Here is a 26,377-nt window from a genome sequence, read left to right as displayed (position 1 = left end):
TGCAAGCAAATGGGGTCATTTGATTCAATCACTAAAACAACTAAAATAGCTCAGACCACTGACTGGAGCACACTAGAGCCACTTCTCGGTAATTCATCTGCATTAACTTCCCACATTCACTATGGTGCTTGGTGCAGATGGAGCCATACAGTGCCCAAAGCCTGAGGCTGACTTTAGAGTCAAACTCCCCTCCATTCATTTTCATATGTCAGGCAGCACCTACAAAAAACAAGAATAAGGCAAGATTTCATGTTCATTTCTTATGCTCTGGTGCTTTTTTTAAATTTATTAATTAATTAATTAATTAATTTATTTATTTATTTATTTATTTATTTTGAGACAGGGTCTTATTCTGTTGCCCAGGCTAGAGTGCAGTGGCACGATCACGGCTTATTGCAACCTTGACCTCCCAGGCTCAAGAAATCCTTCCACCTCAGCTTCCCAAGTAGCTGGGACTACAAGCAAGTGCCATCATGCCTGATTTTCATGTTTTTTGTAGAGACAGCGTATCACTCCGTTGCCCAGGCTGGTCTTGAACTTTGGTCCTGCCTTAGCCTCCCAAAGTGCTGGATTTACAGGTGAGCCACTGCACCCAGCTAGTGCTTTTTTATGTATCTGGATTTCAGAGTAAGCACGCACCTAGGAGTGAAATGGAGTTCCTGAAGACTTTCTTCGGAAAGGCATAGCTCTACCACCAACCAAGTATCTTCTCACTGCTGGGAACTTCAAAGCAAACCCATTAGCTGTCTCTGAGGTTTGTTTTAAAGACTTGGATTGGGCCGGTGATGTGGCTCACGCCTGTAATCCCAGCACTTTGGGAGGCCGAGGTGGGCAAATTACGTGCAGTCAGGAGTTCGAGGCCAGCCTGGCCAACATGGTAAAACCCTGTATCTACTAAAAATACAAAAATTAGCCAAGTGTAGTGGCAGGTGCCTGTAATCCCAGCTATTCAGGAGGCTGAGGCATGAGAATTGCTTGAACCCGGGAGGCAGAGGTTGCAGTGAGCCGAGATCGCAGCACCGCCCTCCAGCCTGGGTGACAGAGTAAGACTCTGTCTCACAAAAAAAAAAAAAGAAAAAGACTTGGGTTGAATGATACTCCATAGAAAATTCATGTTTTTTTCTGTACATGTGTCCTAACTGGTCTCATGTCTGTGGTAACACGACCATGCCTAAATGACCACCTTCTTGGGAACATCATTAGTGCAGAAGCTCTACAGAGAAAAGCAACCTTCCTGAAGACAGTGAGGGCAGGCACAAAAGCTAGGGCAGACTAAAAGATCAGGGCGAGCAGAGCCACCTGGAGTGGGAAGTCATTTCCTCCCTCCTATAGCAACACCAGATGACATGCAAACGCCAGCAAAAATACATTGCTTCCATTGAAAAGTCATGATTCTGTGCATGTACTTCATAACTTTCATCAGCTCCCTAATAGCATTTGGTCTTTGAGTCCTTTTCACGTGTAGGAAACTGGGTCAGTGACCACAGGATACTACCAAGAGAGAGGCTAAGGCAGGAGGATTGCTTGAGCCCGGGAATTTGAGTCCAGCCTGGGCATCCTAGCAACATCCCACCTCTAAGATAGATAGATAGATAGATAGATAGATAGATAGATAGATAGATAGATGATAGATAGATAGATAGACAGACAGACAGACAGATAGATAATTGATAGATGGGTGGATGAATGGATGGATAGATATAGATAATAGATTAGATAGATAGATGATGATGATGACAGATAGTAGAGATAGATGATAGATAATAGACAGATGATCGATAGATGGGTGGATGGATAGTTAGATAGAGATAATAGATAGATTAGATAGATGATAGATAGGTGATAGATATATGATAGATAGATAGATAATAGATGATTGATAGATGGGTGAATGGATGGATAGATAGAGATAATACATAGATAAGATAGATGTTAGATGATGATAGATAGATAGATAGATAGATAGATAGATAGATAGATAGATAGAAGATAGATAGGAAAACCAAGAGTGTAGACTAGCAATGAACCACAGGCTAAAAGGAGCATTTTTGTCTATGGCCCAGTCCCAAAGGAATTAAAGAAAACCCACGTTTCTGTGGATTTGCCAGAGAATGAAAAGAGTCAAGCCAGGATGGATTTGAATGAGTTCCTTCTAAGATGTTGGTGATGTAAACCAGGCGTGTCTAGAAGCATGCAAAGAACAGGCTGCAGGGAAAACTGTTTCCCGCAAAGCAGTGGAGGCGCTCATTCAAATCATACTGACTCTCAATGCAAAGCAGGGTAGGTTTTGTTTTTCTCTTTTTGGCGTTTCCGAAGAAAGCCTAATGGGACCTTTTTCCATCACTTTTCTACAATTCTATCAGAAGCTGTGCAACCCAACAAAACCACATATGGAAACGTGTTTGGGAATTGTAAACTATACACAAATACATGTGGGTACACAAATATGTATATCCACGAGTATGTGCACCAATATATTATTCCACAAAATATGACATTAGAACAATTTCCAAACCATTTTCTACAAACAATGAAATATAATTGTAAAGTCTTAATTCACTAATTTTGTGAACTTTTATTAAGGACCGTGACGTGCCTTTCTCTTCATGGGGCTTTTGGGGTGGAAGACATTCTTTGCCCTCAAAGAGCTCACAGTCCAATGGGGAGGGCAAAGAAGCAGATTCTGTTCAATGTTGGATAAATGTTTTGACACAGATAAACATATGGTTCTGCTGGATGCAGCAAGGGTTGGGCGTGGTGGCTCACACCTGCAATCCCAGCACTTTGGGAGGCTGAGGTGGGAGGATTGCTGGAGCCCAGGAGTTCAAGACCAGCCTGGGCAACATAGCAAGACCCCATCTCCACACACACAAAAAAATATCCAGCAGTAGTGGTGTGCACATGTAATCCTAGATACTCGGGAGGCTGAGACAGGAGGATAGCTTGAGCCCAGGAGTAGTTTAAGGCTCCAATGAGATCAGATTACACCACTGCACTCCAGCCTGGGTGACAGAGACCTTGTCTCTAAAAAATAAAAATAAATCTCCATTCCAGATCTGAGGGCAGGAGGAAGTTTGGGGAAGGCTTTCCTGAAAAGGTGACAAGTGAATCAGGTGAAGGGGTCAGAAAAGGTACAAGATGAAGAGAGAGCTTGCGGAGGGCTGCAGCGTGGCCCACAGGCTGAGAATGAGTGTGTGGACTGAAGACGCCTGTTGCTGTGGCATCCTGTGAAGGTTGCATGCTGTCATGAACAAAGGGAGTAGCTAGTGCAAGTTGCTAACCAGGGGAGAGGCATACTCATATTTGCACAGTAGAAAGCCCCCTCTGGCAGCAATTTGGAGATGACTGAAGTGGGCTGAGATGAAAGACCAAGAGACCTGTTAGGACACTGCTGAAAAAAATCCAAGCTGAAAAAATGATGAAGGCTTGAACGAATGCCATCCGAATACGTCTTCAGGTAATATCAACAGGATTTTACGACCAATTAGAGGTGAATGAGAAGGACTCGTGGCCAACCGCCAGGCTTCCGGTTTGGGTAGCAGGGTGGCTCACAATGCCATTGGCCAAAATAAGGAAATAAGAGTTCCCTCACTCTGCCTGCAGCTCTTTCTGACCTCCGTGTGATTCTAACTCTCATAGTCTCCACAAACTACAGGAAAATTCTGTGTCGATAGCTAATTGCAGTCCACTCCTTTCAGGCAATTTGGATCCTGGCCTTCTTTCTCCAAAAGGTGAGAAGGAGTCAGGAAGAAATTTTAACTGTGTGAGGCAGGTACATGACACGCAAACCAACCAGCCCAGTGAACTGCAGGCCAGGCAGAAATTTCTAAATTTCCAAATTTGTAAATTTTGAAAGGGAAGCAGGATAAAATCCTATGGCAAAAGGAAGAGTTTACTACAGAGGTGCTGGCCTTCACTCAGCATGCAAATGTTTATAGAGGTTGATTCCAAATTCACTAATGTCTTCGCAGAAATAAAGCCAAATTTGTATCTTCACTAAGTATACAGCCAGTGTGTGTGTGCGTGTGTGTAAAATGTATTTATTTTTAGAGTTGGGATTTTGCTCTGCTGCCCAGGCTGGAGTGCAATGGTATGATCATAGCTCACTGTAACCTCAAATTCCTGGGCTCAAGGGATCTTCTCTCGTCAGCCTCCACAGGTGCACAAGCTCACATGGGTGTATAGAATTAAGAGAAAACAGACAATGAAATAGAGGTATTCAATGTATTCTGCTCTGAGATGGGCATTTAGTAAAAAATAATAATAATAAAATACTGTATTCAATGGAAAATGGTATACATCTCAGAAAATATGGCATATCTCCTTGGGTCCTATTTTATACAGTCTTACTTTAGAGCATAAACTATGTTAAGGTTCCCACTCATTAGTTTTTATTGTGCTCAGAATTTCTTGGCTGGGCGCAGTGGCTCACGCCTGTAATCCCAGCACTTTGGGAGGCCAAGGCGGGCGGATCACCTGAGGTCAGGAGTTCAAAACCAGCCTGACCAACATGGAGAAACCCCATCTCTACTAAAAATACAAAAAATGTAGCCAGGCGTGGTGGTGCATGCCTGTAATCCCAGCTACTTGGGAGACTGAGGTGGGAGAATCGCTTGAACCCGGGAGGTGGAGGTTGCAGTGAGCCGAGATCACACCATTGCACTCCAGCCTGGGCAACAAGAGCAAAAAACTCCATCTCAAAAAAAAAAAAAAAAAGAGAGAGAGAGAGAGAATTTCTTCCAGCTCAGTCTGTATTCGTTTGGCTAACATGTCTAGATACACCTCCTATGTTCTGGTTTGGGAACTGTACATTTGAAATGATGGCTGCACCGCCACACAAAGGTGAAAGATTTGGGGAAAGAAATGTTTCCTGATACCTCTGCTTCCCTCTCATGGGGAAGGAAGATCCTGGGACCTACCTGGCGGCAGCATTTGGAAGGATTAATGAGTGTTTGTAGAGCACTCTCAGGTCTGAAGATGAAAGACATCCTATGAGCACACAGTCTAATTGATGTTTGTTATTTTGAATGTTTCACTAAAGGACTTTTCTCCACATAAATGAACACAGCCAGGAGCTTTGAGAAGGACATAGGATTGAAGAGTCTCAAGTGTGGTCTTTTACCAACTTTTTTTTTCAGCAATAATTTCAAACATGGCAATTTCCCACTCAGTAGTGATTATCTCTGCTAAAGAAGAAGACTGGCTGCAGGTGGTGTGATCCTTAGGCTGAGTCTATTTACAGCCAAAACAACCATTTAATTCCATTTCTTCGGTAGTAAATTAATACAGAAATAAATAAATAAGCTCAGGCCTTTGATGGGCTAAATGAGCTACTTTTCTACCTATTTTTAAGCGGTGTTGAAACAGTTTTATTTCTCTTATACATGGGAAATAAATAGATGATCAAACATTTGAACATTATACTGTATATTTGGCTTGGCTTCGTTTTCCAATAAGTTGTTTTCATAATTCAAAGGCTCAAGGGAAAATCAAGTTGGTTCATTCCATTTTCAAGACAGGCCCCATTTTACTTTATAATTTAGCCATAAGTTGTTGACCAATACCCAACTCATTCCCCCACTCCTGGTCAAATGTCTGTGGGTCCCAGGCTAAGGAAGACGCATCAGCGTTAGGTCATACCTGGGCACTAAGGCAATGGTGCTGCCCTGAATCTAAGTAGAAGAAACTTTTTGCTTCTCCCAGGCCAAGCAAGCTAACAGTCTTCCTTTTCCATTCTTCTCTTCTTCATAATAATTCATATTATTTAGGCTGGGCATGGTGACTCACACTTGTAATCCCAGCACTTCATGAGGCAGAGGAAGGAAGGTCATTTAAGGCTAGAAGTTCAAGACCAGCCTGGGGCACATAGTGAAATCCCACCTCAAAAAATAAATAAGTAAAAAAGTAAATAAATAAATAAAAATTCATATTATTTAAGACTGAAGAAGGAGATTACAAACTCAACTTCAAGCACATCCTCCATCAAGCCAGAGAGTTAAGTTCCTAAATCAGCAGATACAAATGAAAGGACATGAGTGACCACAGATTAAATGCCGTCTCTTTTCAGATTTCTTTGAAGTTGCCAACAATGAGAGAAGCAAAGACACTCTATGGAACTTGGCCACCATTTACATAGATCTTTCAAAATTTAATTTCACCAACCAAGCTTTAGGCCAGCTCTCCTAGAGTTAGCCATGTCTGAAGAGATTGGACTTCAGGAAACGTCTCTAGGAAATTCATGTCTTTATCTGTCATGGGTCCATCTGTCTCCAAAGAAAACACCTGCAGTTTAGTTTCAGTTCTTGGTGGAAACATCTCCAAAGTAAGGCAGAAAGCCTGGTCACTCCATTCCCAATCTCTGCCTCCACTCCTGCCCTCCAGTCTAGAGAGGGTACTCTTCAGGCCTTGCCTTTGTTATGTTTTTCTCCTTCAAAGCTTTCCCTCCATGCTTTTTTTGTTTTTGTTTTTGTTTTTTGACAAGGTCTCATTGTCACCCAGGCTGGAGTCAGTGGTGTCATCATGGCTCACTGCAGCCTCTTCCTAGTGAGCTCAAGCGATCCTCCTGAGTAGCTGGGAGTACAGGAGCACACCACCACACCAGGATTATTTTTTTCCTTTTTTTTTTTTTTTTTTTTTTTTGGCAGAGACGGGATCTCACTCTGTTGCCCAGGCTGGTCTTAAACTCTTTTTTTTTTTTTTTTTTTTTTTTTGAGACGGAGTCTCGCTCTGTCGCCCAGGCTGGAGTGCAGTGGCGCAATCTCAGCTCACTGCAAGCTCCACCTCCTGGGTTCACGCCATTCTCCTGCCTCAGCCTCCTGAGTAGCTGGGACTACAGGCACCTGCCACTACGCTCGGCTAATTTTTTGTATTTTTAGTAGAGACGGGGTTTCACCGAGTTAGCCAGGATAGTCTCGATCTCCTGACCCCGTGATCCGCCCACCTCGGCCTCCCAAAGTGCTGGGATTACAGGCATGAGCCACCGCGCCCGGCCTTGGTCTTAAACTCTTGGCCTCAAGTGATTCTCCAACCTTGGCCTCCCAAAATACTGGGATTATGGACAGGAGCCACCACATCCAGCCCTCCGCTTTTTTTTTTTAACATCATTTTGCCTTTAAAAATATTGTCTGGGCCAGGCACAGTGGCTCACGCCTGTAATCCCAGCACTTCGGGAGGCTGATGCAGGTGGATCCCTTGAGCTCAGGAGTTCGAGACCAGCCTGGGCAATATGGTGAAACCCTGTCGCTACAAAAACATACAAACCAGGTATGGTGGCACACACCTATAGTCCCAGCTACTCTGGAGGCTGAGGTAGGGGGATCGCTTGTCCCTGAGAGGCAGAAGTTGCAGTGAGCCAAGATCATGCCACTGCAGTCTAGCCTGGGCAACAGAGTGAGATTCTGTCTCAAAAATAGAAATAAATAAATAATGTCTGTTGGAAAGGATCAATACACAACATGACTGCCCCCTGGGCACTATACTCCCTCCAAAGATGGCCCTGAATCTTAAACTGGAGTTCACCTCAAAACAGAGTTTTGCCCTGAACTACAGATGAGTCGGGGACTCTCTCGAGCAGTGCACAGCCCTTGCCAAGCTAGGGCTGGAATCGCACACACAGCACACGAGAGACAGGACAAGGCACTGTCAGAGGAATCCAAGCAACATAAAGCTCCATCCTGAAATCAGATTTCCACAAATAAAATTAAGCAAACGGCAGGGCAATGATCATCTATCTGTTAGAAAGGATGCCAATGACAGTAAAAGCTCTGTTATCAGACCACTGGGGGAGTGACCGCACGTCTGCTAAAAATTCAGGCTAGCTAAAGCTTTACGCCTATGGCCTCGGGAGCTTTGCCTCTTATCTCTTCCCTGGCTCTCCCTTTTAGAAATGAAAGAAAGTGGATCTGGTTTGTGTGCAAGTGACCATTTAACGGCTGCGGAGATGGAGAATTCATCTTGTTTCTCCAAAACCAGCAGGCAGAGTCGATGCCACTCCCCTAACCACCCTGCCCTGACTCCCCTTTGTGCCTTCTGCTCTGGTGGGCTTTCACTGGTGACCAGAGTGAAGATTTTTTGCCCTGGGCCATTTCTGGAATTCAGTTCTAATCCAGAGCTTTTTAAAATGGTATCTAATACTTCGGAGTTGATTTTACTACCAAAACTAGGTTTAACTTTCTATTAAATAATCTTCAAGTTATAAACTGTCAAAGCAGCATGGAAAAGTGAGCTCCAAGAAGTAGCAGAGATTGGCAGGAGCCTGGTCTCCTGGTGTCCACGTGGCTCCCCTGCCTTCGCCACTACCATCTGTATGGACTGGAGCAGTCGGTAAGCTTCCTTGCTCCCAGTTTTCCCATCTGTAAAATGGGAACATTAGACTAGGAGATCTGTGGGGCCCCTTCTCATCTAGGATTCTCAACATAACGTTTTTTTCTTTATTTTTGTTTTTGTTTTGGTTTGGTTTAGTTTGGGTTTTTTTGAGACAGAGTCTCACTCTGTCACCGAGGCTAGAGTGCAGTGGTGTGATCTCGGCTCACTGTAACCTCTGCCGCCCAAGTTCAAGCAATTCTCCTGCCTCAGCCTCCCGGCTAACTGGGATTACAGGTGCCTGCCACTGCGCCTGGCTAATTTTTGTAGTTTTAGTAGAGACGGGGTTTCACTGTCTTGGCCAGGCTGGTCTTGAACTCCTGACCTTGTGATCCACCCACCTCAGACCTCCAAAAGTGCTAGGATTACAGTCATGAGCCACCACACCTGGCCAATTTTATTTTTAAAGACAGGATCTCCTTCTGTCTCCCAAGCTGGAATACAGTGGCGTGACCAAAGTTCACTGCAGCTTTGAACTCCTAGACTTAAGTGATCCTCCTGCCTCAGCCTCCCAAGTAGCTGGGACTACAGGCACATGCCAAGGCACCTGGCTAATTTTTTTTTTTTAAGAGAGATGGGGATCTCACCGTGTTGCCCAGGCTGGTCTCAAACTCCTGGCTTCAAGCCATCCTCCTTTCTCGGCCTCCCAGTGCACTGGATTACAGGCGTGAACCACCATGCCCAGCCTCTACATACCTTCAAGGGAGAAAAGTCTATGCTCTCGCTTACTCTTCAAGAGCCTCCAAATGAGTGTTGCCATGACAACCCACACCCTCTGAAAACTTTTACATTAGAGAACATGGCTAAGTCCTCTGGAAAATAAAGCTGGTTTTAAGTCACTAGTGCAAATTCTTTTAAAAGCCCTTGACATTCAAACTGGTCCACCCAAGATCATGAATGTCTGTTCATTCTCTTCTTTCTGAAAATATAGAGAGGACCTAGTAAAACTTGGCCTCAGCCTCTTTCTTTGAAACCAAGACACTGCATGCTGGAGTCAGAAGAAATGGAATGGGCTTTAAATCACCCCCAAGGGGATGCAGATGTGAGACCACCTTTCACCAAAAGCAGGGCCTTCCCACTCATTTGGAACAGCATAGGGATCCCCGTCACCTCAGATGTGCGTTGTCATGCAGCCTGGTGAAATCGGAGAGGCAGCTGCTGTGAGGTCAGGAAGTCCTGGAGTTGAAGCCTAGTCTATCATATATTGTGTAACTTTGGGTAAATTACTTAATCTCTCTAAACCTGAGCTTTCTTTTGTAGATAACAATAACTACCTTTCAGAATTGTGATGAAGATTAAATGGGATGATCTGTAAGGTGCCACACACAGTGCCTTGTACATACTAAATACTTGACAAATTGCAGCTATCCGTGTTCCAGTCAGTGGACTGAGGCTATCCAAGAGTGGCCTACGCAACTCCTGGAAAATGCTGGTGCAAAACCATCTTGCGCTGGCCAAGGGAGGCAGGTCCAGATTACCTCAGAGGCATTACTACCCCTCAGAGACCACTAAGAAATAAAGAACAGAAGGAGGCAAGGTTCTCTTCGTTAAGAACCTGAACTGACTCCTTCCTCTCACTACAGGGAAGAGAGGGACTGAGAAGAACTTTAGGAATGAAGGGAATTAACCCATGAAGCGATATGGCAGTTATCAACATGCTGATAACAACAGGGAAGTGAAGGAAACATCTGCATTTAAAGCTCAAAAAAGACCCAAGAAGCTGGGCGTGGTGGCTTATGCCATAATCCCAGCACTTTGGGAGGCTGAAGCAGAAGGATCGCTTGAGGCCGGGAGATCGAGGCTGCAGTGAGCCATGATTGCGCCACTGCACTCCAGCTTGCGCAGCAGAGCGAGACCCTGTCTCAAAACAAAAAAGCAAAAAACTCAAGGAGTGCTCTGTAAGAGATGAAGGCATCCATCTGGAAGAACCTGGATCATATTTCCCTTCAAAGTCATTTATTTTCCTCCCTGGTGTAGAAGGGGAAAGGTTAGTTGTTCTTGCATAAAAGGAAGTAGAATAGAAAAAGCGAACTGGATGCAGATCCGGTGGCTGTCAATCAGCACCATATTGGCTGCTGTTTAACTGCCTCCTCCCAACCTCAACCCAGAAAGGTGGTGCCTGGAAGGGTCCTGCCATAATAGCATCAAACTTCATCAACATCACATCTCATCCCAAGTCTAGCAACACCCAAAGGAGAGAAGGGCGAGTCAGAAACAGGGCTCAGTGGCATTCGCCCTCCTGTTGAGCTTCAAGGATTTGAGTAGGGTCCCACTGAAAGACTCAGCCTTTAGGCTTTCAGAGACATCACTTTTTTGGGAACCCAAAAGATAGAAAAGCCTGAAGAGCAAATGCTCCCTAGACTTTGGTGACGTCTTGTCTCTGTGTGACTGTCTATCATTAAAGATAATGGGGTAAAGGAGCATGTCATTAAGTGGGAAAGAGAGGTCATTATTTGTTACACCACCTCCCTTTAAAGGGAATATTTACAACAAAGAGCAATGACTAAAAGTCTTTAGGCCAGGCTCTTGACGGCAGCAGACATGTTATTGGTGACCCCACACCAGGTTCTAGGGTGTCCAGACAGACCCCAGGCCAGTTCCCTGTAGGAGGCAAAGTGGATTATTCCATCATCAAGAGCACTAGACTAGGAGTCAACAGACATGGGTTCCAGTCCCAGCTAGATTGAAAATGCGCTGTGAGACTCAGAAGAGCCACCATGTCATGGGGCCCTTTCTCATCTAAACAATGACGAGGCCATACAAAGCAATTCCTCAGATTCCAAAGTTAATAGTAACCGAGAGCATGGGCCTGGCCCTGGGTTGAGTCCTGGATCTGCCCCTTTGTACCTGTTTGACCTTGGCAATGTTCCGTAAAATGTCATGATAAGAGTATCTGCCTCGCAAGATTTAGGAACATTAAATAGTGAATGTATTGGGTGTACACTCTAAGGTGATTTAAAAAAAAAGAGAGAGAGGGGGTCTCTGTCTTCAATGTGTTTTTAATTTAGAAGTGGCACTGGAACAAGCACATTTGGTAGAAATTAATTAAAGGAATAAGATAGGTGTGTGGGTCTTTCTGTGCTTGTATGTGTGTCTCCGTGTGGGGGGTGGGGGCGTGTGTGTCTCTGTGTGTGTGTCTCCGTGTGTGCATCTGTGTATGTCTATGTGTGTGTCTGTGTGTGTCTCTGTGTGTCTGTGTGTGTGACTGTGTGTGTGTGCCTGAGTGTCTCTGTGTTGGGGGGGGGCGTGTGTGTATCTGTGTGTGTGTCTCTGTGTGTGCATCTGTGTATGTGTCTCTGTGTGTGCATCTGTGTATGCGTCTCTGTGTGTGCATCTGTGTGTGTCTCTGTGTGTGCATCTGTGTATCTCTATGTGTGTGTCTGTGGGTGTCTCTCTGTGTGTGTCTCTCTGTGTGTGTCTGTATGTGTGGGTGTGTGTGTCTGTGTATGTCTACGTGTGTGTCTGTGGGTGTCTCTCTGTGTGTGTCTGTGTGTGCAGGTGTGTGTGTCTGTATATGTGTGTCTGTGTCTGTGTGTCTCTGTGTGTGTCTGTGTGTGTCTCTGTGTGTGTCTCTGTGTGGATGTCTCTGTGTGTGTCTGTGTGTGTGACTGTGTATGTGTGTCTGTGTGTGTCTGTCTCTGTGTGTGTGTCTGTGTGTTTCTGCCTCTGTATGTGTGTGTCTGTGTGTGTGTGTCTGTCTCTGTGTGTGTGTGTGTCTGTATGTGTATGTGACTTGGGTTGGTACATTTCTTTATAAGAACTCCTTCTTAGCTAACAATTGCTGTGATGCTCCTAAAAGGCCCGCCTTAGTAGTTCTACGGAGACGCATGCTTCAGCCTCTGACACACAGCAGGCCCTGGAATAAGTGGGTCAGAATTTGTACAGAGATTAATGCGCCAGAGCTCAGTGTTGAAAAAACGCACAGTTTATAGGGACTGATGCCCATGGCTGCCTGCTTGCAAAAACAGGAAGAAAGAGAAGCAGAAATGAGACAGAAAATATTCCAAGCGAAATGAATGGGATTCTGGAGGTAAAATGGCAGTGGGAGCTAAGGAAACGCCAGCCTGTTTCTCGGCTGGGGCTGAGGCCACAGCCAGCAGGAGTAAGGTGGGTGAACCTCATTCCCAGGTCAGGCCCAGTGGCAGGCCGTGGCTGGCCAGGGCACATTCCTGCAGGCGCTCCAGGCTCACAGGGAAGGGAGCATGATGGCCCCACAGCATCAGCCCAAGCTGAAACAACTCCATGCAGCATCGCGTGCCTCTCCCAGGCCAGTATCCAGTTGTAGAGGGGAAAAACGTACACCCAGAGAGCTGGCAGCCAAGAAACAAAGCAGGGAAGAGAAACTTGAGGTGAAAACCACTCAAGGCCAGGCCCAGTGGCTCGCACCTGCAATCCCAACACTTTGGGAGGCAAAGGAAAGAGGATCACTTGAGCCCAGGAGTTCAAAACCAGCCTAGGCAATATAGCAAGACCATGTCTCTACAAAAAAAAAAAAAACCCACAAAAATTAGCTGGGCATGGTGGTGCACACCTGTAGTCCCAGCCATTTGGGAGGCCAAGGCAGGAAGATGGCTTGAGCTCAAGAGTTGAAGGCTGCGATGAGCTATGATTGTACCACTGCAGTCCAGCCTGGGCGACAGAGCAAGACACCATCAATAAATAAATAAATAAATAAATAAATAAATAAATAATAAACTCTCACAACCAACCTGAAGAGGAGGTCAGTGCCTGCCCAGCAGACAAAACCTCCCAAGCCAGCTCCTTCTCCTTCCAACCCCCTTGGTCTCCGCACAGGTCCCAGGACAAACACTTTCCTAGGAGGAAGCATCTGCTGAAGTCTGCAAGGTTAAGAGAGGAAACCCTGTGATGTTATGAAAACAAACCTATGTTACTTTTATAATAAGAAACTAACATTAAAAAAAAGAAGAAAAGAAAAAAACCTGTGATTACAAAAACCAATTTTGATTATTCTTCCTTTATTTTTTTTCTTTCTGTTTTTGAGATGAGTCTCGTTCTTTTGCCCAGGCTGGAGTGCAGTGGAGTGATCTCAGCTCACTACAACCTCCACCTCCCGGGCGTAAGCGATTCTCCTGCCTCAGATTCAAAGTCAATCACTTATCAATGGCATGGCTGGCTCAGGCCAGGATTCCATATCCCTTGAGAGAAAAGCAAGAGGGAAATATCTCTGTGCCATTCCATCGTCGTCACCGTCAACTCGTGTCCCACTCTCCTGACTTCTGGAGAACCCTCCAGCTCTTACAGTATTCTCGAAACACTGCCAGGGTTGATTTTCATACTTCAACTAGACTGCAAATCTTTTGAGGGCAGAAACTGTCTTTCCTCCCTTTCTGGCTGCCTTGGTATGGAATGAGCATTTGTTCAATATCACCAATATGGCCTTTCTCTGCCCATCCCAAGCCGTCGGCCTGGCCCCAGGTTCCCCCTCACCTCCTTTCTGCCTGCCAGGATTGAGCACCATTTCTTGTGATTTCACGAGAGAGAAACAGCTGCAGTTTGCTGATCTCTGTCTAACCAGGTGGCAGCATGTGTCAGTCTTCCCCAGGGCCCTGGTGTTTTGAATCCCAACTTCTGTGGACATCAAGAGATGATTCCAAACCCATCAGTCTCCCCAGGGCCGGCTGCCTGGTGATGTGGTCCACCTAATAATCATCTTATCCTTCAACCGCAGCTTCTATGAGCCTCTTCAAAGCCTTTTGCGATCATTAGCTAATTAAGTCACAGCCCTGCCCTGGTGACTACAGTTATAATTCCCACTTTACAGATAGGGAAACTGAGGCAGTTTTTAAGTGAGCTCCCTCAGGCCAGAGTCAGTGTCTGAGCCAGAATTAGAAGTTACAGGTGTCTAATTCTGTGTTTCAGCCGCTATACCTCACACCCTTTTTATTCTAAATAAATGGTTCCTGAGTACATGGGTGGAGAGGTCTCTCCCCTAGGCTGTGTTCACAGTTTTTGAGAGAGTAAGAGTTGAATTGTCTCATTCAGTACTTTTGTGGCTCTGCAGGCTCAAGCTGAGTTTAGCTTCAAACAGGGGCCGTAAACAAAGAGTCAAAAAGGACCAAAAATGGGCTTTCCCTGGAATTTTTATTTACTTATTTATTTATTTATTTGTTTGAAACAGAGTCTCACTCTGTCACCCAGGCTGAAGTGCAGTGGTGCAATCTCAGCTCACTGCAACCTCTGCCTCCTGGGTTCAAGGGGTTCTCCTGCCTCGGCCTCCTGAGTAGCTGGGATTACAGGCCCGCGCCACCATGCCTGGCTAAATTTTTTTTTTTTTTTTGTACTTTAAGTAGAGACGGGGTTTCACCATGTTGGCCAGGCTGGTTGCAAACTCCTGACCTCAAGTGATCCTCCTGCCTCGACCTTCCAAAGTGCTGGGATTGCAAGTGTGAGCCACCATGTCCAGCCTATTTTCTTAAAAAAGAGTTATCTGCTACACCTTTTTTAAAGCATATTTAAAATGCATATGGCATTTTAGAGCCAATTAAATATTGTTACCCGCTTCTTGCCTGAGCCAGCTTCCTCCCTGAATGAGATTTAAGAACAAGAAATAAAAAGAGAAATAAGGAGATGTAACAAAACTTGAAACTACAAGAATCCTTGACTGGTAGCAAAAATAATAATAATAACTAGCCGCAGTCCAGTGATGCAATGTAGCATACAATTAGGAGAATCAATACTTCTGGCCTTTGAGGTAAAGGTGTTAAGAAGGAAAGCTTGACTGATTTGCTTGGAGAAAGCTCAGTGAACTTTCTGAAAGAAAACCCAAGACTCTTCATGACCGAGCACAGATTCCAAGCATTAGCACAGAATACCGCCACACATCTCATCCAACATGCTGGGCTTTGGGATTCTGGGGTGGGGGTATGTGTGTGTGTTAAGACCAGGACAGGAAACAAATATTTGAGAGTCCTATAAAAACAAGGTCCCTCTCTCTGGTCAATAATAGTAAACTAACTACATTCAGAGGACAGGAACGATGGCAGAGCTGTGGGTTCCTGAAAGGCACCTTCTGGAAGGCTCTGGCTGGCTGGGGGTCTCTATACAGATGATAAGGTTGGGTTACTAGGAATGGGAAGGCGCGGTGAGGACATTCCATGCTTAGCATGCATGAAGACGCAGAGATAAGAAGGAGGAAGGGGTCAGGGGACCTAACCAAAGGGAAGAAAGCCAAGTTGAGGAAAAACATGTTTATTGACTTTTTTTCCTCTTTTTGTTTCCACACTATGCCGACGTACTTTCATTTATTGACTTTTAAATAAGACAGTTTTCTGTGGTCCTGAATCATGGCAACCCCCATATAAGAGTGCCCCATATAACGTTTCTTGGAAGGAGGTAGGCCAGGCATGATGGCTCACACCTGTAAATTCCAGCACTTCGGAAGGCTGAGGTGGGAGGATTGTTTGAACCCAGGAGTTCAAGACCAGCCTGGGCAACATAGGGAGACCCCGCCTCTACAGAAAAAATTTCTAATTAGCTGAGTGTGGTGGCACTCACCTATAGTCCCAGCTACTCGGGAAGTTGAGGCAGGAGGATCAATTGAATCCAAGAGGTCGAGGCTGCAGTGAGCTGTGATTGTGCCACTGCACTCCAGCCTCAGATACAGAGCACGACCCTGTCTCAAAAAATCAAAAAGTTAAAAAATGTTTAAAATAAGCTTGGTAGAGATAATCTGTTAAACCATATAGGCCTAGTGGGTTTTGAATGGATAGACTTTAAATTATAGGTCTATTTATTTTCAAGTTTAAAATGTATACAGGCTTTCCATTTCTAAGTCAATTTTATTGACTGTGTTTTTCTGGAAATTTGCCCGCTTAATCTATGTATGTATTTAAAATCTAATCTATATATTTAAATTTATCATAAAGTAGTTTTTTTCTTTTTCATAAAAAAATGTTTAAAATTAAAATTTTTGGGCCGGGCGCGGTGGCTCACGCCTGTAATCCCAGCACTTTGCAAGGCCGACACGGGCGGATCACAAGGTCAGGAGATCAAGATCGTCCTGGCTAACACGGTGAAACCCCGTCTCTACTAAAACTATAAAAAAAAAAAATTAGCCGGCCATGGTGGCGGGCGCCTGTAGTCCCAGCTACTCAGGAGGCTGAGGCAGGAGAATGGCGTGGACCTGGGAGGCGGAGGTTGCAGTGAGCTGAGATCGCGCCACTGCACTCCAGCCTGGGTGACAGATGAGACTCCGTCTCAGAAAACAAAAGTAAATTAAATTAAATTATAATTTTTTAAAAAAGATAATAGCAGGCAGCTCCAATCTAAACCCCATAAAGTATATATTTCTTGTGTTTTAGAAAAAAAAAAAAACGTGTTTTGTGTGTCCAGAAGAGCTTGAAAATGAATGCTGAGCAGTGAGCATTTGCAGCCTGTGCATACTTCCATTTATAACTCCCTGAGGAACTAAGTCGAATTCATCCGATGTTTGTTAGCAACATGGCAGAAAACTCGGGGCAGAGCAAATATTCTAGGACAGAATCAGGGTTTTCCTGTACAGGGACAGTGTAACTTTGTTCCCAAAGCAAATACCAAAGGAAATAAAATCATAAATATTTAAGTCACAAATTCCCTCCTTAGGCATTACATGAGAGGTGTTCACGAAGAATAGGGAGTTGAATTTAGATTTTGGGGGTTTTTTGCTTGCTTGGTTTTTATGGAATTAACTCTTGGAATTAAAGGAATTAAACACTATTACCTGAACAGTTTTTGATTATTCTAATAGCCCAAGCTTGAACCAGGTAGGTTCCAGCTGGATTTCAGGTCCTACATATATTTGGGCCTTGAACTCTGTTTTGTTTCTCATGGATGGTAAGAGGAGTTAGGAAATAAATACTGGGTGGTTAGAAAAAGAGGAAGATTAATCCTGTGAGAACTTGTGTCCAAGCTGAAAGAGCCTGGGCACAATGGGAGGCTCACAGTACCTGAGCTTGGTCTTTTTCACCCCAAAGCCCCTGAGCATAAAAGAGGCTGAGATAAAAGGTTTGAGAGGACGTGTCAGAAAGGAAATATATGAGGGGCACATGTTCTCTTCATCCTCCCCTACATAGAGTGGCTGGGAGACACGGCAGGAGAGATCGGCTGGCTATGGAAAAGTTAACATTTTCTGCATCATAGGTAGGTTTGCCAGATAAAATACACAACTAGGGCCAGGCACAGTGGTTCATACCCATAACCCCAGCACTTTGGGAGGCTGAGGCAGGAGAATCCCTTGAGCCTGGGCGATAGAGGCTGCCGTGGGCCTATATCGTACGATTGCACTCCAGCCTGGATGACAGAGTGAGACCCTGTCTCAAAAAATAAATAAATAAATAAAATGCATGACTCTCACCTAAACTTGAATTTCAGGTAAGCAACAAATAACCATTTACTATAAGTATGGACCAAATATTGCATGGGACATACTTATACTAAAATAGTAGCCATCATTTATGTGAAGTGCAAATTTAACTGGGTGTTCTGTATTTGTATTTGCTAAATCTGGCAACCCTAATCACAACAAAAAGTTCACATGTATAAAAAAAGTGAAAAATCAAAGTACGGGAATAGAAGCACACGGTTTTGAGACAGGAAGAGAACTATCTCAAGAAACAACTGAAAGTGTGGAAGTAGCTTCCTCTTGGTATCAGGATTTGAGGGTGGGCAAAGTTCCAGGCAAGGAACTGCTGTCTTTCTTAAGCCTCAGCAATAAAGTTTGGATATTTTCATCTGTGTACTTCCATAACTTAGACAAAAATTAAAATTTAGTTTAAAAAAGGGAAATAGCCTTCAATGGTTTTCATAACATCTTTTGCCCTTCCAGAAAAAAACTGGCATGCCAAGTTGCCAAGTTTCAAGGGACTATAAGGAAAACAGCAAAAAATAAAAATAAAAAGAGAGACAGTAAAAGTTTTCTGCTGCGTCTTCTCCCTCCCCAGTGAATATCTGGGGTCCCTCATCATTTCCTCCACAGTGGGCAGGTAGATTCAGACCTCCAGCCTAGAGGATCCCCTCACAGCAGCATGCAGACGAAGGAGGTAGGAGGCAGGTAGGTTTTCCAGCAGGGAGAGTGGGGATTAGGGATTTAGCTAGTCATTATTGAGTGCTTGCTAAATGCCAAGCAGTATGCAAAGAACTGGACTCTGTGTTTGCTCCAATCCTTCCAGGAACCCTGTGAGATACTGTTATCTTCACTTTCGGATGAGGACATTGAGGCTAACTGAGGCCAAGTGACTTTCCAGAGATCTCTTAGTTAACAAGTGGCAGAGCTGCTATCGGAACCCAGACATGTCTGCCCCCCAAAACTGCACTCACATGCATGTTCAGCACAGCACTATTCACAATAACAAGGCATGGCATCAACCTAAGTGCCTATCCACCATGGACTGGACAAAGAAAATGAGGCCCATGTACATCATGGAATACTATGCAGCTGTTAAAAAGAACAAGATCATGTCCTTTGCAGCCACATGGATGGGGCTGGAAGCCATTATCCTAAGCAAACTAACACAGGAACAGAAAATCAAATCCCACATGTTCTCACTTATCAGTGGGAGCTAAACTTTGAGGACATATGTATAGAAAGAAGGGAGCAACAGACTCTGGGGCCTCCTCGAGGGTGGAGGATGGAAGGAGGGAGAGATCAAAAAACTATGGTGGGTGATAGCATAGTATCTGTATGACAAAATCATTTGTACGCCAAACCCCCAAAACCCACAATTTACCTATATAACAAACCTGCACATGGAACCCCTGAACATAAAATAAAACTTTAAAAAAATTAAAAATTTTTAAAACTCTGCACTCAACCGAAATGTTACACCATGCTTCAGGTGGGATACCAGCATCTGGAACTCAGGGAGCCAACGTTCCTCAAGATCGCCAAATCTAGCTGCCGCCAGAAAGAATGACCCAACACTGGCCTTGCTATAGCCAATGCCTGTTGTGCTGGGAAAGGAGACACTCGGGCTCTGATGGCCCAGGACCCTGCTGTGTTGCCTCGGGGGGTCTCATGATAAGCCCACCCAGAAAAAGAACGCTCGTCCTGTGACACTCCCACAAGGCTCCTTCCCCGGACTGGGCTTCCACCCGGAACGCCTCCCACAGTGGGTAAAGGAATCTAAGTGGCGTCCTGAGCGCTGCCTTCCCATGAGCCTCTGTAAGCCTGGGCTTTTGGAGAGCACCCCCTAAGAAGGTGCTGGACCTCATGTTCTCCCTGTTTGTTTCCCTCGAGTTCCCACTGGGGGAGAGAAGATGGAAGAGGAGATGTGACCATCGCTGGGGAAGGGGGTAAGGTCTGCCAAGGGCACAGTTCAAAGCCAAGAAGAGAGAAGACGGCTGGAGTTTGTTGTTCCGTGCCTGGGTATTTTCCAACTTGTGTTTCTAGAGAAAATAAGCCTAGGGCAGCCGAGGCTGTGGAGACAATATGGGCATGTAAACGCTGTCACTCAAATTAACACCTTTCGTCTCAGCTTTGATGCCGTCCAAGCCACCACACCTGAACATGATAAACTCATGAAATTATCTCACCAGATCAGAGTTTTGGGAACTGTCAAAGTCCTGTTTCCTTCCTTCAAGATGGTACAGATCTATGGTTAGAGAGAAAGGACACGATGGGGGTGAGGGTGAGAGGGGCTGCCACTGTCCATCCATCATTATGACTATGACTTGCAGAAAGCCCAGCTGCACAGTCAGCGGGGTTTAAGCTCCCAGAACGTCGTGGGGAATGCCCCCTGGTGATTCTCAGGGCTCCCTCTTGCCAGCATCAGATAATGGCCAGGATGATAAGTTTCACCTACCTGGACTGGAACCTCTTCCCGTATTTGATCCCAGTTAGGGATCTGATTCCCTCCTAAGGTGAGTTGCCTTTGATGTCTGAGATTCTCCCGGGGATAAGGGAGAGTCTTCAGGGATGACTCCTTGGCCCTGGCCGGCTGGGTACCCTGCCTGGCTCCATGTGGAATCCCTGTAGCCCTTAGGAGTTTCTCCCACCCTGGAGGCCCCTCACTTCAAGCAGCCCGTTCCCTGGGGTCTACAGGGAAATTAAGAATACTTTTTCCTAAAACAAACATCAAGAAAAAGCTTTCTATTTTTATATGCTAAGGATGTGAGTCTTTAGCCAGCAAATAGGAGGTTTATTTCTGTTTGTTTTGTTTTTGTTTGTTGTTTTAGGAAGCCAAAGATGAAATGTTTTTAAGATTCTGGCTTATAGAAGCTTCCATGGGACCTCCCTCTCTCACTGAGCAGAATTTCTGTTCTGTTAGTCTCTTTCCCCAACTATCACAGATATTTCTGAGAGGACTGGGAGGCTCTTGCAGGTGTCTCAGGGTCGGCTGACGCCTCCAGAGAGAAGGATGATGGCTGGTGGTGTGGAACCCACTCAGGGAGCTCTGTCTGTCTGTCTGTTTGTTGAGTCACTGAAAATCCCCAAGCTGTCAGCATGAGTTGGGAACTAAAAGAAGAAAACAGACTTTAGGTAGCTCACTCTTTCCCTAGTCCTTGGCTGGCATTTGACACTGATTGGCACAGTTGCTCACAAGTGTTTCAGGGTAGAAAGGGGCTTATTCCGAGTTCTCAACTTCTGGACCAAAAAAAAAAAAAAATCCCGTATTAGCCAACTGACACACATGCACTCTAAAGAATATCAGATGTCGGACGTGATAAGCCACATGGGGTGAGGTGCATACATGGAGCATCAAACACCAGCACAGAAGTCACCTGGGCTCTGGGCTGTCCTAACCAGTGCAGAGCCAAAGGGCTCTCTTCAAATCTAGTTGACCCAGTTTTCCCCAAGCGGGAAGGCCACAGCACTTCACAGCACTTGGGGAGGTCAGGAAGGTCAGGCAGGACAAACTAAACAAATCCTCCGCTTTCCATTGCCCCCACGCCCCATGAAGAATGAAGGTGGGGTTGGGGGAGAGAACAAGCTAGACCACAGGGCAAATTCCGACAGGCTGGAGGAAAACGCTGTGGAGGACAGGATTCTTTCGCCTCTAGTTCCTCCTTCCAAAAGTGCATTCTTCCAGATTCTGAATCTTCTAAATTAGGAGCAATCCCAATGGCCTAGAAAATTCAGGCCAAGTTTCTCCAAGGAAGCATCTGCCACCCTGAGATCTGCTCCCAACTTCTTGAAACCTTGGCAAACATCTGCCTGTTCTCAGCTCCCGCCAACCCCCCCCCCCCCGCCTCCAGCCTCGGGCCCCCCAGGCGGGCATGCAGCAGCTCGAGATAGCAGCTCCGCCCTCTTCCCGGGAGGGAGGCAGCAGCCCTAGCAGGTGTCTCTGGCTTCTCTCCTGCGGCAAGAGGCGCATGCAGGTGCCTCCTGCCACTCCCTTTTTCCTCCCAGTGGGAGTGGGCGGCTAGGGAGGTGTCCCAGCCACTCCCTCTGCCTCCCTGGGGCTGGTGGCTTAGGGAGGTACCTCAACTCCTTTCTCAGAGCAGAAGGCTGGAGTCCCTGGGCCACACCACACCCTCCCACGCTGCTTTTGCACCAGCCCTTCCAGCGAGCAGCGCTCACCCTCACCACCTCTGAGGAGCTCTGGAACTCCCCTTACAAAGTAGAAAATCCCCGTAGCCATTGGGGACCCCATGAGTTCTCCTTTCTAGACTCCATCAGCCTGTCACTCAGGCTCTCCTCTCCCATATCTGATTCCCACATTGAGAAGAAAAGAGGAGAGAGAATTCCTCCTCAAGGTTGTGTAGGTTGAGGGTAGATGATAACAATCCAATCTTTTTTTAGAAAGAAAGGGTCTTGCTCTGTCACCCAGTCTGGAGTGCAGTGATGCAATGCTAGCTCACTGCAGCCTCAACCTTCCCAGATCAAGCAACCCTCCCATCCCAAGTAGCTGGGACCACATGCATGCACCACCATGCCTGGCTAATTTTTTTTTTTTTTGTAAAGATTGGGGTGGGGGGGTCTCATCATGTTGCCCAAGCTGATCTTGAACTCCTTGGGTCAAGTGACCCTCCCACCTCAGCCTCCCAAAGAGCTGGGATTACAGGTGTGAGCCACCATGTCTGACCAGATTTTTTCAATTCAATTCTCCACTAAGACAGAACTTGAGGCCTGTAATCCCAGCACTTTGGGAGACCGAGGCCGGCAGATCATGAGGTCAGGGGTTTGAGACCAGCCTGACCAACATGATGAAACCCCATCTCTACTAAAAATACAAAAATTAGCCGGGCATGGTGGCGCGCACCTGTAATTCCAAGTACTCAGGAGGCTGAGGCAGGAGAATCGCTTGAAACTGGGAGGCAGAGGTTGCAGTGAGCGAAGATCACACCATTGCACTCCAGCCTGGGCGACAGAGCAAGACTCCGTCTCAAAAAAAAAAAAAATAGAAACAAAGAACTTCAGGTCCAGCTCATCCATGTCTGGAGGGTGATGGCAAAAGAATGAATGAGTGAAACATGGGGCCCTTCCAGGAAATGGCTCCCGCATGTGTGCCTCCATCCCTACCTCATTTCTGTGTGCACTTGGGGGGCTACCAAGAGGAAGCCCAGGTAGACAGGTTAGCCCACCACAGCACAGCCCACCCAGCCCCCAGTGAAGGGCCATGGCTCCGTGACAGAGCAGGTTGCCTTACGGAGAAGTGTCTTGCCTCACTGGGAGGGAGCTACCCAGGGAAGTAGAGTTCCAGGGACACAGAGAGCCCCCGAGAGCCCAGCCTCCCAAATGCACCTTACAGAAGGAACCCTGGAGAGGAGAAGGCAGTCGGTGGGGAGAAAATGCTCCAAGGAAAATCTGCTAGGATGGCAGTGACATTTGGTTAAAAAAAGAGGAACAAGAAGGTAAGAAGGAGTTGACAGTGATAACAAAAATGACCCAGCCTAGAAAAAGCACCACCCCCACCCCACCAAAAAAAAGGGTCCTGGCATTCAAAATAATTGTAATTTTTAAAAAACCAGGATAATTTGTTGTTCTAATCCAAGGATTGGTGACTTTTTTACTACAATGATGATGTCCTTTGTTCCTCGGGCCCCTGGGGATATCCAGGCATGGCCTGTGTCTGTTCTATTCTGGATGTGAACGAGCTCACACCTTGGTTAGCTAGGCTGAGCTTGAGCTGAAATTTCAGGAGTCTTCGGCTAAAAATCCAGTCACCAGACACTTGGGTAAAGGGGGCATTTTCCCAGAAGCTGTTGACCAGGGATTTGGGGTTCAGTATTAAAGACAATCACTCATGATTAAGCCTCTGACTTCATCCCTTCTCCCAAGATCTGTCTGTGAGACAGAATTGCTTCATTATGAAAGTGGAGCTTCCTTGGTCTTTCTTTTTATCTAGTGCATCTCCCTCAGCCCAGTGCAGTTAATAATGATCTTCTGGCCAGGCGCGGTGGCTCACACCTGTTAGTTTCAGCATTTTGGGAGGCTGAAGGGGGCAGATCATGAGGTCAGGAGTTTGAGACCAGCTTGACCAACATGGTGAAACTCTATCTCTACTAAAAATACAAAAATTAGCTGGGCATTGTGTTGGGCACCATGCCGGGCACCTGTAATCCCAGCTACTTGGGAGGCTGAGACAGGAGGATCATTTGAACCCGGGAGGTAGAGGTTGCAGTGAGCCAAGATTGCACCATTGCACTCCAGCCTAGATGATGGGGCGAGACTCTGTCTCAAAAAATAAAAATAAAAAATAATCATCTTCTACCTTGCACAAGTGTTCCATGAGTCAAAAACTAAGAATTGACAAGTGAACCATCTTACAGACAGGGAAACTGAGGTGCTGAAAAGGGAAGTGTTGCACCTTAAAGATGATAACAGCCACAGCAAAGAAGCCTCCTCATCTCCAGGAGCCTACATGTGACCTAGAGTTTTCACAGTCCAGTGTTTGGGCGGAAGAACTTCAGTTTCCCTCTAGGTCCTGCAAGAGGAGTGGGAATGTCAGTAATGTATGATCCCTTATCTTGGGTCAATCCAGTCTGGGTTTTTCGTATCCTTCCTGGAAGTATGTAACCATGAAACAACACTGCCTTTTAGAAATGCTGTTTCTTACCTCTATGTGTTCTGTGAAATTCCTTAAAACCCGTAGAACTGTAATCAGATGAAGTAAAATTCCAAAATCTCCTGTGCAACTCCCAAGAGAGTCCCAGCCTCCTATCCACATAGCTGAATGTGATCAAAGAATGAGGAAATTAGGTCGAGAATGACCTGCACAGACTCTCTAGGACAAACTTCTGATTAAACAGATGAACAAAGGGCATCCAAGGGCTATGGGATTAGCCCAAGAACAGCCACTAGGAATTGACTGAACCAACATTGAGTCCCAGTCTCTTGACTTCCCATTCATAAGAAGATGAAATTAGCATTACCAGAATCAGACAGCCCCTCTGTAATGGTTTACACAGAATAATGCTGTGAGCTCAGTGCTGATTAGCTTAACCTCACTCACAACCACAATTTGAGTTCCATAATACTGTCAGTGACATCACCGTTGGGGTGACAAGATAGTCCTACAGTCTCCAGAGAAAACATGGCATTGGGGTTCCTGATAATACAGGCACGTGCAGGTATGCCTTACTTCCTGAAAATTCTATGCTACTGAATTCATATTGAATTTTTGTAATGATAGCATTTCTTTTTTTTATACTTTTTTTATCGTACTTTAAGTTTTAGGGTACATGTGCACAACGTGCAGGTTTATTACATGTGTATACATGTGCCATGTTGGTGTGCTGCATAGCATTTCTATGCACTGGGAAGTTGACTATATAAAGTATCCTAAGGTGAATTCTTATTATTAGCAAAGCATCTTTTTGCAAAGCAAATCATTCCTCCTGATGTTTATAAATAAGTTTTACTTAAAGTGAAGTGCGTATCTGTACTGAAAGCTAATCTCCATATTATTCTAAGCACAGCTCAGATTCCATAAAGGACCTCACTTTGGGAGCAGCGTGGGAAGAAAACATTTGAATAAGAGCAGGTCCAGGAGAGAAATCAGATAGATCCACCTCTTTCCTAACTTCTCCCGTCTTCTAGGTGTCTCTTTATCAGAGCAAAGTCCCAACCATAATGCCCAAAATTAAGATTTTGGAGGAATTTCATGGGAGGAAAATAACAATTTTTTTAATTTTTTTATTTTAGCGTCTGAGTCACCACACTAGAAGAAGAAAATAATTATTAACGTGGTAGACAAGAAAGCCTATCATTTGGTGAAAAATAAATGGCATCATTTATTTTATTGGGAAAATATTCCCAAATTCTCAGCAGCATTATTCCAAAGCAAGGACGGGAGAAGCAAGATTCTACATATATGCAGAAAAGATTAAAAGGAAGTCAAAAAACTGTTTAAGAGATTAAGCCCATGGGCCTGGTGTGGTGGTTTCACACCTGTAATCCCAGCACTTTGGGAGGCCAAGGCAGGAGGATCACTTAAGGCCAGGAGTTCAAGACCAGCTTGAGCAACACAGGAAGACCCAGTCTCTAAAAAAAATTTATTTTAATTAGCTGGGCATGGTGGCAGACACCTATAGTCTCAACTACTCAGGAGGCTAAGGTGGGATGATCACTTGAGCCTGGGAGGTTGAGGCTCTAGTGAGCCATGATTGCACCACTGAAATCCAGCCTGAGTGAGAGAGAGACTGCCTCAAAAACAAAGAAAAAGCTAAATAAATACATACATACATAAAAAAAAAACATAAATAAATAAATAAATAAAAATCCAGGCCGGGCATGGTGGCTCATGCCTCTAATCCCAGCACTTTGGGAGGCCGAAGTAGGCAGATCACCTGAGGTCAGGAGTTCAAGACCAGCCTGGCCAACATAACAAAACCCGTCTCTACTAAAAATACAAAAATGAGCCAGGTGTGCTGGCATGCGCTTGTAATCCCAGCTACTTGGGAGGCCGAGGCAGGAGAATCACTAGAACCCGGCAGGCGGAGGTTGCAGTGAGCTGAGATCGCACCACTGCCCTCCAGCCTGGGCAACAGAGCAAGATCCTGTCTAGAAAAGGAAAAAAAAATCCAGGAGTTTGAGAGATTAAGCCCATCATAGGAGTCCAATAAATACTTTAGATCG

At 45.4% G+C, this 26,377-nt stretch overlaps 2 annotated features.

Moving 5' to 3' along the window:
* Positions 11,773–12,274: an enhancer, noted in NCBI's record as "H3K27ac hESC enhancer chr10:8154631-8155132 (GRCh37/hg19 assembly coordinates)". NCBI's record gives its function as "activates a minimal SCP1, AML or CMV promoter by ChIP-STARR-seq in naive H9 embryonic stem cells {active_cell/tissue: H9 hESC(naive)}" and the evidence as "EXISTENCE:reporter gene assay evidence [ECO:0000049][PMID:30033119]".
* Positions 21,896–21,985: an enhancer, noted in NCBI's record as "active region_2985". NCBI's record gives its function as "activates an Ori minimal core promoter by ATAC-STARR-seq in GM12878 lymphoblastoid cells {active_cell/tissue: GM12878}" and the evidence as "EXISTENCE:reporter gene assay evidence [ECO:0000049][PMID:35858748]".

The sequence above is a fragment of the Homo sapiens genome, chromosome 10, assembly GCF_000001405.40.
Source record: "Homo sapiens chromosome 10, GRCh38.p14 Primary Assembly".
In the NCBI taxonomy this organism is placed as follows: Eukaryota; Metazoa; Chordata; class Mammalia; order Primates; family Hominidae; genus Homo; species Homo sapiens.
Note: the sequence above shows the minus strand (reverse complement) of the source record. Positions and strands in the feature narration are given on the sequence as shown.